This window comes from Homo sapiens, chromosome X (assembly GCF_000001405.40).
Source record: "Homo sapiens chromosome X, GRCh38.p14 Primary Assembly".
Lineage (NCBI taxonomy): Eukaryota > Metazoa > Chordata > Mammalia > Primates > Hominidae > Homo > Homo sapiens.
Window position 1 is genome coordinate 2218506 of NC_000023.11, and position 13427 is coordinate 2231932.

General features: G+C 49.0%; 1 protein-coding gene across 1 annotated transcript in view; it reads right to left on the reverse strand.

The window, feature by feature from the left end:
* Window positions 1-1000: 1000 nt before the first annotated feature.
* DHRSX (dehydrogenase/reductase X-linked) overlaps window positions 1001-13427 on the reverse strand; it is a 281471-nt gene continuing 269044 nt past the window's right edge. The window contains exon 7 of the mRNA NM_145177.3: window positions 1001-2724. Within this exon, the coding sequence (NP_660160.2) occupies window positions 2536-2724 (189 nt within the window). The 3' untranslated portion in view covers window positions 1001-2535. The remainder of the gene's footprint in view (window positions 2725-13427) is intronic.

Genomic DNA, 13427 nt, shown 5'->3' on the forward strand with positions numbered 1-13427 from the left:
AGACCCCTGCACCATAAATCTTGTTGCAAGTTTTCACCGTTGGGCTTCACGTCTCCCTGCAGCACCATGAATCCAGCTACACTAGGGAGGTGAATATCATGCATGTTTCCTGCAAGTTTCATTGTTCCTTGTAACCTCTGGCAACCTCTCCTTCCCGGAGGCTGTTTCCTGGCCTGTTAGTCTGGTTGTATCATTCATGGTTTTCCTATGAAGGGTCTCAGGATATAAGCAGACATTCTGCACAGAGACTGCATCTTTCTGCAGAAGGGGCTTGAGCTCATTCTTTCTGCACTGAGAGTCCTGGGTATTGAGGTCTGAGCTCTGCCCGAAACAGAAGCATACCGATTGTTAGGGTCACCCCAACCAGACCGTTCCCTTCCCCTTCCACAGGCCTTACAATACAGTCCCTTGCACTCTCCACACAGCTCCCCCAGGGCTAAAGACAAACGCCCCCCGCCTTCACTGACCCCTCCAGTAACTGTTTGTCCAGACAGTTACAGGATGTGGTTAGCATGTCTGTGAACCTTGCATAACAAAGCTGGTGAAAAACATCTCCAGGATGCGGTCAAGACACTTGCACCCCCTACTCAGCTCCCCCACCCCAACCCAATCCTCCTGCACCCTCGACTCAGCTCCCCCACCCCGACCTGGTTCTGGCCCTATAAAACCCTGCTATAGTCTGTAAGTGGGGCTGCCTCCACTAACTGTGGTGGAGCAGCCAAGCAGCTCAGTAAAGTTTGCTTGCCTGACTTTAGGTCTCCTCATCCTCTCTCTCGGCTGACCTTACACCGATGATGTAGTAAGCATCTAACGTGAATATCCCAGGGAACAAATCCACATTTCTTATCCTTTTGTACCAAGGAAGGTCCCCTGTCTAGTGGGTCCATGACATAAAATTCCTGGTTTTCTGTAAAGGAACAACAGAAATCCAGGCATCCTGGTTATCTACCAAGGAAAATCACCATCTGTGGTGACAAACCCATTCCCGGAGGATGAATGATTTTTTTTTTAAAGAGGCCAAACAATACATTTATTATTTTCATTTAAGTTGCTTATCAGGGCAACCTTCCCCATCTGGGAACAATCTAGCAGTCATGTAAGAAGCACATGCCCCCACAATTAGTTTGAACTCCATCCTGGAATTGCAGCTGGTTGTGATTCTAAGGTACAGGCATGCCAGGAGCCTGGATTTGAATAGTCAGTGGGATTTTGTCACTTAGTGGAATGGATAATAAGCCAACCAATGGTCATCAGTCTCACACATAAGGAGTGCAGGCTCGTAGGGTATACACAGTACTTTCTCAAAAGCATTGCAAATGACTGATTTCTCTATGTTGAAATTTGAAAACCCAACATCTATCTCTCTAACACCAAAGGATTGAGCCTTCCTTGCCTGGCTGGTGAGTAAGAGTGAGCCTCTATACCAAGGATGTACCCTTTGGCTGTGTGAGGTTTTCAGAAGTATCAGAAGCTGTATACATTTCCTGTGGTTGCTGTAACAAGTGACTACCAATTTGTTGGAGCCTTAAAACAAGAAAGATTTATTCTCTCTCCGTTCTGGGGACCAGAAGTCTAAAGTCAAGACGTCAGAGGGGCCAAGATTGCTCTGAGGGGTATAAGGGAGAATCCTTCCTGCCTGTCCCAGCTCCTGGTGGCTCCAGGCATTGCTTGGCTTGTGGTGGCATCACTCCAGTCTCTGTCTGCATCATCACACGAATATCTTGTCTTCTGTACTCAAATCTCCCTCTACCTGTCTCTGATAAGAACCCTCGTGATGGCATTAGGTTCACTGGGATGATCCATAATGACCCATCTCAAAATTCTTAATTCTATCTGCAAAGATTCTTTTCCAAATAAAGTAATATTTATAGGTTCTGAGGGTTAGGGCATGAACATATCTTTTGAGGGCTACCATTTGATCCATAGCTGTTCAGCGGTTTACATTCTCGGATTTGACAGTGGCATGCTTCACTTGTGACTGTGCCATTCTGGAATGAGGTTGACCAGATGGTGCTGCTGGCCACGTCAAACTCATCCTACAGGCTGTAGCAAGCAAGGCTCACACCTCCCCATGTCTGACACCTGTGAATCACAGCTGGGTCTCTGGAAAAATGAGTGAGTGCAGGAACAAAATCAAACAGGAGACCTCATCCACCACTAGGTCTCAGAGAGGACATTGCAGCCCCTGAAAAGAGAGCATCTCTCTTGGAACTTTTGTACTCAGTTGTATTAACGCGGCAAGGAAAATGGCACATTTATGTTGGAAAATGTAATTATTTATGGCACCTGTGACAACTGGGCACTTTGGAATCACAAAGTTTATGGTTGAAGACCACTTGGGGTGATTATCCTCCAAAATGTTTATTTGGCTTCTTGAAGTTCTGCAGAGGTTGAGGCAGCTGTCTCAAAACTAGAGGACAGAGCCCTGTGGGCAGGTGGGTGTGAGAAACTCAAACACCGCAGTCTTCACAGACCCACAAGCTATTGGCAGGTGCAATGTGTTTCTTGGGGCAGCAGCTATCCTGAGACAGGATATCACAGGGTCACATCAAGGACCCCAGTCATCTCACAACTCTTAGACCACAGCTGCTGCTGCAGTTTCTGGTTGTAGGTGACGTGGAGGGACTTGGTCTCTTTCTCGTTGTATAGGTAATGGCCACCAACTCCTTCCAGCTCTGGGGTGACTGCTGCGTAGATGGAAGTCCACGCTCCTTCATCGGGGGTCTGGTGGAAGAAGAAAAGAAGGCTACGATGAGTCAAATTTCTGAGCAGGAAACAGGAGTCTCAGGACTCACATGGATGCTGCAGGGACAGGTGGAATATACTCATCAGCTGCACTGAGAAATGTATGCAAAAAGCGAGGTTGGGTGATCAATCTGAACCACAGCTTTTCTGCTGTTGGGTTTCTTTACAACAGGCACTGACAATAACGTACCCAAGTGGGTTGCATTTCAGTGGTGGGTTAATCCATCTCACTAGGCAGATGCATATTAAAATCCCTGATGTACGTATTTAATCACGCACTCTTTATGGGACCGAAATGCTTATTAATTGACTAGAAGCAGATGAGTGAGTGCTTGGCTTCTGTATTTAATAAACAATATTTAGCAATTAGATGAAACATCAGGACATCAAAAAGATTCTTGTTTTCAATTCAGCAAGGCATGCTACATCGGAGAATTGAGGCATTTATGAGCTGTGATCGTATGTTTCATGGAAACAGACGTTTCAAAAAGGAACTTGAGATGCAGAAAAAGGTTTTTCAAAGACTGGGGATTTTACCCTAGTGGAAGGCGATAATCTTGAAACACAGCACACCCTGGTTTTCTGCAGTGGGAGTTGGCCCTTGGTCATGGTCAGTGGGATGGAAGAAATGTAGGATTCTCAGAGGAATTAGAAGTTGTGGGACCTGAGAACCTTCAGAGCTAGGATGCAATAATCCAGGAACCAACACAGTGCATCTTAACTTCTGTCACAATGAAGATGTTTCAGAAGTTGTCTCTTGTAATAAGCTTCTGGGAATCTGGTGAACGTATCCACCATGTGGGGACACAGTAATGAGGCACCGTCTGTGAACCAGAAAGCAGGTCCCTTCCAGACACAGAATCTGCCATGCATTGATCTTGAACTTCCAGCCTCCAGAACTGTGAGCAACAAATGTTTACCGGTTGCCCAGCCTATGTTGTTTTGTGATAGCAACACAAACAGACTAAGACATTTGATGTCCAGAGTTTTTACTGGGGTCTCATTGCATAGGTATGATTAAGTCATTGGCCACATAATCAGATTCAACCTCCAGTTCCTCTTTCCTCCCCAGAGGTCAGGCTGGCCTGAAATTCCAACCTCCTAATGACATGGTTGGTGTTTCTGGTGGCCAGCCCCATCTTGAAGCCATTTAGGAAACAGCAAATATCACCTCATTATACAACCAGGGAATTGCTAGCATTTGTGAAATTGCGAGAGTTTTAGAAGCTCCTCCTTGTTACAGAACCAGGAATAAAGACCAGATATTGCCTTTGTTATGTCCCCTCTAGTCTTCTGGGAGTGATGATCCATTTGCCCGAACTGATTTCACCTCTCACCAGTGCCCCTAGCACTGCAGTGGCTCAGGCCTGTAATCCCAGTGCTTTGGGAGAACAAGGCAGGAGGACTGCTTGAGTCCAGGAGTTCAAGATGAGTGTGGGCCACATGGCAAAACCTAGCACTGGTGAGAGTTCAGGCACACACCCTCCAAAAAGGAAAAGGGTGGACTCTGTGGGGTGGCCTGTGACACCCAGTCACTTCAGAAATTCTGCTGCTGTCAGTTCACTGCCTCCTGGTCTTGACTTCAGCAGCCAGTGTGACGTGGAAAGGCATGGTAGACAATCCAGTGTGCCCACCAGCCCATCCTCTGGGTGCCGAGCAAGGGGAACAGGAAGGCTGGACCCCAGTAGAGGAACAGAGCTGCCAGACTCCTGAGATTGTTTCCCACTGACTTGCCTCTGCTCTTCTGCTGCCTAAAAAGAAATGGATGGAGCTAGAGAACTTCCCAAGTCTGGAAATCACCTAGGGGTGCCCAGAGATCTTGCAAACCCAAAGTGTCCTGGGAGATTTGGAGGCTGATACGGTTTGGCTGTGTCCCCACCCAAATTTCATCTTGAACTGTAGCTCCCATAATTCCCATGTGTCAAGGGAGGGAGCCAGTGGGAGGTAATTGAATCATGGGAGATCTTTCTCGTGCTGTTCTCATGATAATGAATAAGTCCCATGACATCTGATGGTTTTATAAAAGGCCGCTCCCCTGCACACACTCTCTTGCCTGCTGCCATGTAAGACATGCCTTTGCTCCTCCTTCACCTTCCGCCATGATTGTCAGGCCTCCCCAGCCACATGGAACTGAGTCCATTAAGCCTCTTTCCTCTATAAATCACCCAGTCTTGGGCATGTCTTTATTAGCAGCATGAGAACAGACTAATAGAGAGACTGTATCTGAAAACATCTCGGGGGCGGATGCAGGCGCCATGGCTTGGCTCTTGCAGGGGAGCCCTGTGTCCCGTGTCTTGCCCTGGGCATCTAAAGACCAAAAGTAAAGGCGAAAGGGATGGAAAGAGGAAGGGAGGAAGGACAGAACAGAGCAGGAGGAAAGGGAGAGGGAAGGCAGGGGCCAAGTGAAGGCACCCATGGTGTTTGAGGGTCTTTCTCTGGGGCAGCCTTCAACGCAGAAAGAGGTTTTATTGATCTGTTTCATGCTTCTCTCTTTTGCGGCTGTGTTCTGCCCAATTTCCAGGCAGGATCTGCTCCCAAAGCCGGCATTCTTCTTCCTTCTCCATCATCTTGTAGCTGGAAAATACGGAGTCTTTCTGGGGCCCAGCCCACTTCCATATAAAAGGCAGGGACACCAAGCACTGCAGCTGTGAATCCAACATGGTGCCCCTTCCCACACTGCTGCTCTGGACAAAGTGATCAGAGAGGCCAGATGGGGGCCACCCTGGGTCCCCAGGAGAGACCATGGTTCCTGCTGCGCAGAAATGAGCATTTACACCTCACGCTGGTGCCTGAGATGTTCACCCACACTGTGTTATATTTAGTGCTGTGCCTTCTTTGCAAACAAATCCTTAAATCAGCTCCTGGAACAAGTTTTGTGTTGTTGTCTGCCATCATTGACACTGAGGATTCAGGGGCTCATGCCCCAAATACCCGACCTGTGTCTTGACCATGTAGTATGATGCCTCCACCCGGAGAGGCCCCTGTGTTCTGCAGCTGCAGCTTAGGCCGCTCCTGGGTTCTCCTGCATCGTCCCTATTGTTGAACAAACTCAGCACTCTCTGGAAGGAGGCTTCCTCTTTGTGGTTCCCCTGTGGGCAGTGTCTGGGGGCTTCTGTTTCTACCATATTTTGAAAAATCCTCTTATCTGAGTAAGAGTTCTTGGGCTATGCATATTCAATTGCGACACAAGTACTACCGTTTTAGGGGGCAAGATACCACCTGTGCTATGTTGAAAATGAGCTTGTGATTTCTAGAAGACAGCAAGCGCATTGTGCTGAAAATGTAGGTATTTCTGGGGACACAGAGATGACGACGTGATGAAGTTCTATTGGATGATTTTTTTTCTGTAAGAAAAACACACGCACACACATATTCATGTGCGCATGGTCACTTACATGCTGACATGCACACATACATTCGTATGTACTCACATGCACACAAATATATATACACATATGGACACACACATACTCATGCATACGCACACACACATGCACACTTACTTGCACATGCATACTCACACTCATTCACATGCACACATGCTCATTTACATGTACACAAACTCACATGAACACATGCTCACATATACTCATTCACATGCACACAAATTCGCATGCACACAGCTCACACGCACACATGCTCACACTCGCACACACACACGTACACACACATTCACATGCACTCATTCACATGTACACAGCTCACACACATGCTCACATTCACATGCACACTAATTCACATGCACACACACATGCTCACACTCATTCACATGCACACAGCTCACATTCACACATGCATTCACATTTACATATTCACATGCACTCACATGCTCACTCATTCACATGCACACAGCTCACACACATGCACACACTCATTCACATGCACTCATTCACATGTACACACATTCACATGCACTCACACACGCACACAGCTCACACATGCACACATTTGCATGCACATTCACATGTACACACATTCACATGCAGTCACACATGCTCACACTCATTCACATGCACACAGCTCACACACATGCACTTTCACATGTACACACATTCACATGCACACATACACATGCACGCACCCTCATTCACAAGTACGCACATACACATGCACACATGCTCACACTCATTCACATGCACACATGCTCATCCACGTGTACATTCACATACTCATTCACATGCATACTTATACACATGCAAACATGCTTATATATTCATTTGCATGCACACACTCATACACATGCACAGATTATTTATCCTAATATTGCAAAATATGAAACCAAGGAGAGAGGCCTCAGGAGGAACCAGCCCTGCCCACACCTTGATCTTAGACCTCCAGCCTCCAGGACTGTGGGAGAATCAATGTATGTCGTTTCTAAGCCACCCAGTCTATGGTATTCTGTGACAGCAGCCAGAACTGGACTAAGACATGTCATAAGAAAAGGAGATGAGGACACAGACACACACAGAGGGACAACCCTGTGAGGACACAGGGAAAAGACGGCGTCTCCAAGCCCAGGAGAGAGACCTCAGGAGGAACCAGCCCTGCCCACACCTTGATGTCAGACTTCCAGCCTCCAGGACTGTGGGAGAGTCAACGTCTGTTGTTTATAAGCCACCCAGTCTATGGTATTCTGTGATAGCAGCCTGAAATGGACTGAGACAGCTCATAAGAAGAGGAGATGAGGAGAAAACAGACATGCACAGAGGGACGACCCTGTGAGGACACAGTGAGAAGACAGCATCTACAACCCAAGGAGAGAGGCCTCGGGAGGAGCCCGCCCAGCCCACACCTTCATCTTGGACTTCCAGCCTCCAGGACGGTGGGAAAATCAGTGTCTGTTGTCTAAGCTGCCCAGTCTATGGGACGTCAGGCTGGCAACCCCGGCAGATGGAGACCAAGCCCAGGTGACTTCTCTCCTGACTGGGATTGGCGCAGGCTGCTGTGTGCATATGTCAAGAAAGCCTCTTTTCCAGGAAACAGGCAATTATACCCACACTTACCTGCTACCTCAAGAGTCAGGGAGGGGAGAGACTTCAGGAGCATGAGCAATTACTCGAGTTCCCCTCCCAAGTCATTTCAATCTCCTGTTGGTTACCTGGCTCATTCAGTCTGCCCCACAGCTCTATTGCAAACAGAGCCCTCTGTGTTCATGGGACTGTTCAAGAACACCAAGGGTTCCTGCCAGCATTTGTCTCTCTAATGCCACGTTCTGCAAAGCAGACCTTGGACTGGCCCAGCCCTTTGTGATCTTTTTCCCCAAAGAAAACACAGGCGCGGTAGCTCACGCCTGTCACCCCAGCACTTTGGGAGGCCGAGGCAGGCGGATCGCGAGGTCAGGAGATCAAGACCATCCTGGCTAACACAGTGAAACCCCGTCTCTACTAAAAAACACAAAAAATTAGCCGGGCATGGTGGCGAGCGCCTGTAGTCCCAGCTACTCGGGAGGCAGGAGAATGGCGTGAACCCGGGAGGCGGGGCTTGCAGTGAGCCGAGATGGCGCCACTGCACTCCAGCCTGGGCGACAGAGCGAGATGCCATCTCAAAAAAAAAAGAAAGAAAAAAAAGAAAACACCCAGACCATGGGCACGGTTTCTCGTGTTAGGGCAGCACAGAGAATGTGACAGGTAGGGAAAACAGCAAAGCAACTCATCGTTCTCAGAGTCGCTTTTGTTAGAGGGGAAGCTCTGGGACCTGTCTCAGAGCTGCTGCAGAATAAGAAGGGTTCGAGTCAGCCTTCCTCCTGCTGACAATGAATACCTCAGTTTTCCCTCCGGAGGCAGCCCCTTTTCCTCCTAACTCCATGAAATGTCTTTCCGGAAGGTGCAGCTGGAGCACCCTGCACCTGCACCCCAGCCAGCCCTGCACCCACATCTGTACATGCCAGGCAGTGCTGAGAACCGGGCAGGAAGGGAGGGGACAGACGTGTCTGCACAGAATCCTGCACCTGCTGGGAACAACTCAGTGTCATCAGCTATGGCCTGGGTCAAAGCACCTTTGTTTTGGGTATTCAAAGGTCAGTGAAGGGTTGAGTGAAAGGGAAGGAGAAAGACAGAGAAACAAAAAAAATCAATGGAAGGAAGAAAGAGAAGGAGAAAGAAAAAGAGGAAGAAGAAAGGAGGAAATAGAGAAAGGAATTAAGGAAGGAAAGAAGGAAGCATAATGGGAGGGAAGGAAGGAGTGACACAGAGAGAGAGGGAGGGAGGCAGTAAGAAAGGAAGGAAGCAGAGAACAAGACAGAAAAGAGGGAAGGAAGGAGAGAGAAAGGAAGCAGAGAAGAAAGGAGGGAGGAAGAAAAAAGGGAGAAAGGAGGGAAGAAGGGAGGAAGGGAAGGATGAAAAAAGAAAAAAAAACAGGAAGGAAGCAAAGAAGGAAGGGAGGCAGGAAGCAAAGAAGGAAAGGAGGAAGGAAGGAAAAGAGACAGAAAGAAAAAAAAAGAAGAGAAACAAAGAACCAAAGAGAAGGAAGGATGGGAGGGAGGGAGGGAGGGAAGGATGGGAAGGAGGAAGGAAGGGAGGGAGGGAGGGGGGAAGGGAGGGGGGAAGGGAGGGAGGGAAGGGAGGGAGGGAGGGAGGGAGAGAGGGAGGGAGAGAGGGAGGGAGAGAGGGAGGGAGGGAGGGAGGGAGAGAGGGAGGGAGGGAGGGAGGGAGGGAGGGAGGGAAGGGAGGGAGGGAGGAAGGGAGGGAGGGAGGAAGGGAGGGAGGGAGGGAAGGGAGGGAGGGAGGGAGGGAAGGGAGGGAGGGAGGGAGGGAAGGGAGGGAGGGAGGGAGGGAGGGAGGGAGGAAGGGGGGAAGGGAGGGAGGGAGGGAGGGAGGAAGGGAGAGGGGAAGGGAGGGAGGGAAGGAGGGAGGAAGGGAGGGAGGGAGGGAAGGGAGGGAGGGAGGGAGGGAAGGGAGGGAGGGAGGGAGGGAGGGGGGAAGGGAGGGAGGGAGGGGGGAAGGGGGGAAGGGAGGGAGGGAGGGAGGGAGAGAGGGAGGGAGAGAGGGAGGGAGAGAGGGAGGGAGGAAGGGAGGGAGGGAGGGAGGGAAGGGAGGGAGGGAGGGAGGAAGGGAGGGAGGGAGGAAGGGAGGGAGGGAGGGAGGGAGGAAGGGAGGGAGGGAGGGAGGAAGGAAGGGAGGGAGGGAGGGAGGAATGAAGGGAGGGAGGGAGGAAGGGAGGGAGGGAGGGAGGGAGGAAGGAAGGGAGGGAGGGAGGGAGGGAAGGGAGGGAGGGAGGGAGGGAGGGAGGAAGGAAGGAAGGAAGGGAGGAAGGAAGGAAAAAAGGGAGGCAAAAGGAAGGACTGGAGGAAAAAAGAGAAGATAAGAGGAAGGAAGGGAGGGAGGAATTTATTCCTCAGAGCCTTTGCTGCATTTACCAATTCTGGTTCTGCCCCTATTTGACCAAATATCTGTGGTGACTCTGAGAATTCTGATTTCTAAGATAAGGCAGATATTGTGAATTTGAAATAGCAAATCCCTTTTGTGTCATTCAAACCACGATTTCCTTTTTGTTAGAGCTCCTGTTCTCCAGATAGCACCCAGGGCACACAGAGATATTTGCCTGTGACTCTTCAAAGAGCTTCAGAAAGCTGTTCCCTCTGAACTCCACACTTAACTTGTATTAGACATGCTGGGCTTTGCAGAAGAGACACACACAGGGCTTCCCTTTGTCCTTGGGACGGATCCCCTGTGCTGTCTGCAAGGAAACTACCTAACGCTCCACTGCCAGGAGCAGAGGGCAGCAGGAATGGCATCACCCGGGATGTCTCCTAGGGAGGAGGCTAGCAGGGCTTGGGCGGCAAACGCTCAGCTCTCTGCAAGGCACGCAGAGGCTCGTTCGCCTTCTGGAAATGTTGCTATTTGAATGCAGACGCTGTTAGTAGATCCTTGAGTTGTGCTGAGAGAGATCTGAGGGCACATGTATTTATTTTAGCACCGTCCACATCTTAGGGCAGAAACTCACACTCAGGGAAGTGGCTGGCAAGTAAAGAGACTCCTAGCTGAGCTTCCCAAGGAGAGTTTCCACGCCCCAAAGTTGTGGAAGAGGGGACGGAGTAATGCTGTGGTCAAAGAGAAATTCAGAGACTTCTGCCCAGGCTCAGCTGCCTTCCTGGAAGAATGTTCTGAACATTCTACAAAGGCAACACTTCCTCTCCATACCTCTGCTCCAGCCACCCAGGGATCCTGCTGCTTCTGCCACGATGTCCCCTGCCTCTTGCCTCTCTGTACCTGCTGCTTGCTCCTTCTGGAATGTTCTGGAAAATAGGTTTCGGGGCTGGATGTTTTCTGGGATGCTGACTCACACGCAAATCATAGGGTGACATAATGTGTGCATGTGTGTGTGTGCACAGATATGCATAGGTACGCATTTATGTGGATGTGTGTGTACTTGTGGGTAGATGTGTATTGTATGATTGTATGTGCATGTCTGTATGTATATGTATATGTATGTGCACGTGCATGAATGCACACGTTAATGGGTACGTGTGTGTATTCATGCATGTGTTTGGATAAATATATGTGCATGCATGTGTGTGGGGGCGCAGATGTGCGGGTATGGGCCTGCGTGTGTTTGCACATGTGTATATGTATGCATGCATGTGAATGTGTACTTGAGGGATGTGTATTGTATGAGTGTATGTGCATGTCTGTATGTATATGGATATGTGTGAGTACATGTACGTACATGCATGTGCATGAATGCACATGTGAATATGTGCATGTGTCGATAGGAATATACATTTGCATAAATGTGTGCATGTGTGTTTGCTCATGCATATGTGCACACATGCATGTGGGCACAGATGTGTGGATATACGCATGTCTGTGTGCATGGGTTTGCACGTGTATATGTGCATGTGTGTCTATGCATGTGAAGGTGTGTGTGCATTTATGCACGTGAGCATGTGTGCACATACTATGCATGTGTGGGAGGGGTGCAGGTGCGCGCATGTGTTTGCATCTATATGTGTGTATTTGTACATGTGTGCATGTATGTGTGCATGAGTGTGCACATGTGTACGTGCACACACGTGCTCTCAACTCCCCAATGAGAGCTGTGGGTTGTGCTAAACTTCTAGGGATGTTTCATGGCCTCAGTGACCACCTGAAGCAGAGAGGATTAAGAAAACCTTCCTTTAACTACAATCTCGTAAGACACACACACAAACCTGCTCTTACCAGGAATAAACACTCACCTGACAGACAACAGAGAGGAGATGGCTTGTGCTGTTTAATGTCAGGTAACACAGGTCTTAAGTGGGCTCTGTGATGATTGAGTTCACGTATCAATTGGCTGGGCTATGGTGCCCAGACATTTGGTCAAGCACCAGACTGGGTAGTTTGTGGATATCATTAACATTTACAAATCAGTTGCATTTAAGCGAAGGAGAGGACGCTTCACAATGTGGGTGGGCCTCACCTCATCAGGAGAAGGCCTTCACAGCAAACACTGACACTTACTAGAAAAGGAATTCCACTCCAGACTGTGACAGGGCAATCCTGCCTGAGTGTCCAGCCTGCCCTGCAGATTTTAGGCTCAAGGCTGCAATGTCAAATCTTGGCCAGGTCTCCAGCCTGCCAGCCAGCCTACCAATTTTGGACTTGCCCGCCCCTACAATCCCAAGAGTCAATTAAACTAAATCTTTCTCTATGCATAGATCCTATTGGTCCTGTTTTTCTTGAGAACTGCGACTAATACAAAATTGAACGGTCTCAATGGCAGAGAGTCTGGGCATTCTGAAACCAGGAAGAAATGCCGGGCTCCAGGAATGATCTTGGCTCATCTCTTAGCTTGAGTCACTGGAAGGTCTCGCACAGAGACCTTCAATCAAAAGCACAGAGACTGCTGGCTGGCTTTTAAGGCTAAACCAAAGGAGGGCATTTATCCACTCAAGGGAAGAAGTTTCCCATCCAAAGAGGACACTTCTTTTTAGGGTGGCAGCCTCAGAGCCTATGATGTCTTTGTTCCTGGGGAGTCTGTTAGAGCCACCAGAGAGTCCATCACAGACATACCCTGTGGAAAGGAGAGATGGCATCTCCTTGGACAAAACGGCCCTTCCCAGTTCTGTAACTTCTGTGGCATTTCCAATGTGTACCTCAAACTGATCTGGGTGGCATCACCTCTGAGCCTGAGAGAACCTCCCTCTTTCCCTCCCTCTCTCTCACACCCTTCTCCTTCCTCCTTTGCTTCCTCTTCCTTTTTCTCTTTTTCTCTCTCTATTCCTCTTTCTCTTCCTCCCCCATCTTATCCTCCTCCTCTTTCATTTCTTCCTTCTCCTTCTCTTTCCCCCTTATCCTCCTCCTATTCTTCTATCCCTTCCTCTTCCTTTTTCTCTCTTCTTCCTCCTCCATCGTATCCTCCTTTTTCTTTTTTCCCTTATTCTCCTTTCCCATCTCTTTCTCCCTTTCTCTTCTCTCTCTGCCTTTTCTTCTTTTTTTCTTTCTCCTCTTTTCTCTTCTTGCCTTTTCACTCTCTATTCCTCTTTTTTTCTCCTCCATCTTCTCTTCTTCCTCCTCCACCTCGTCCTCTTCCTCCTTTCTGCCTTATCCTCCTCCTGTTTTTCTCTCTATCCCTCTCTCTCCCTTCCTCTTCCTTTCTTTCTCCTCTTTCTCATTTTCTCCCTCTTCTTCCTCCTCCATCTTCTCCAACTTCTTCCTCCTCCTCCTCTTTCTCTTATCTTCTTCTTTTCCTCTATCTTTCTC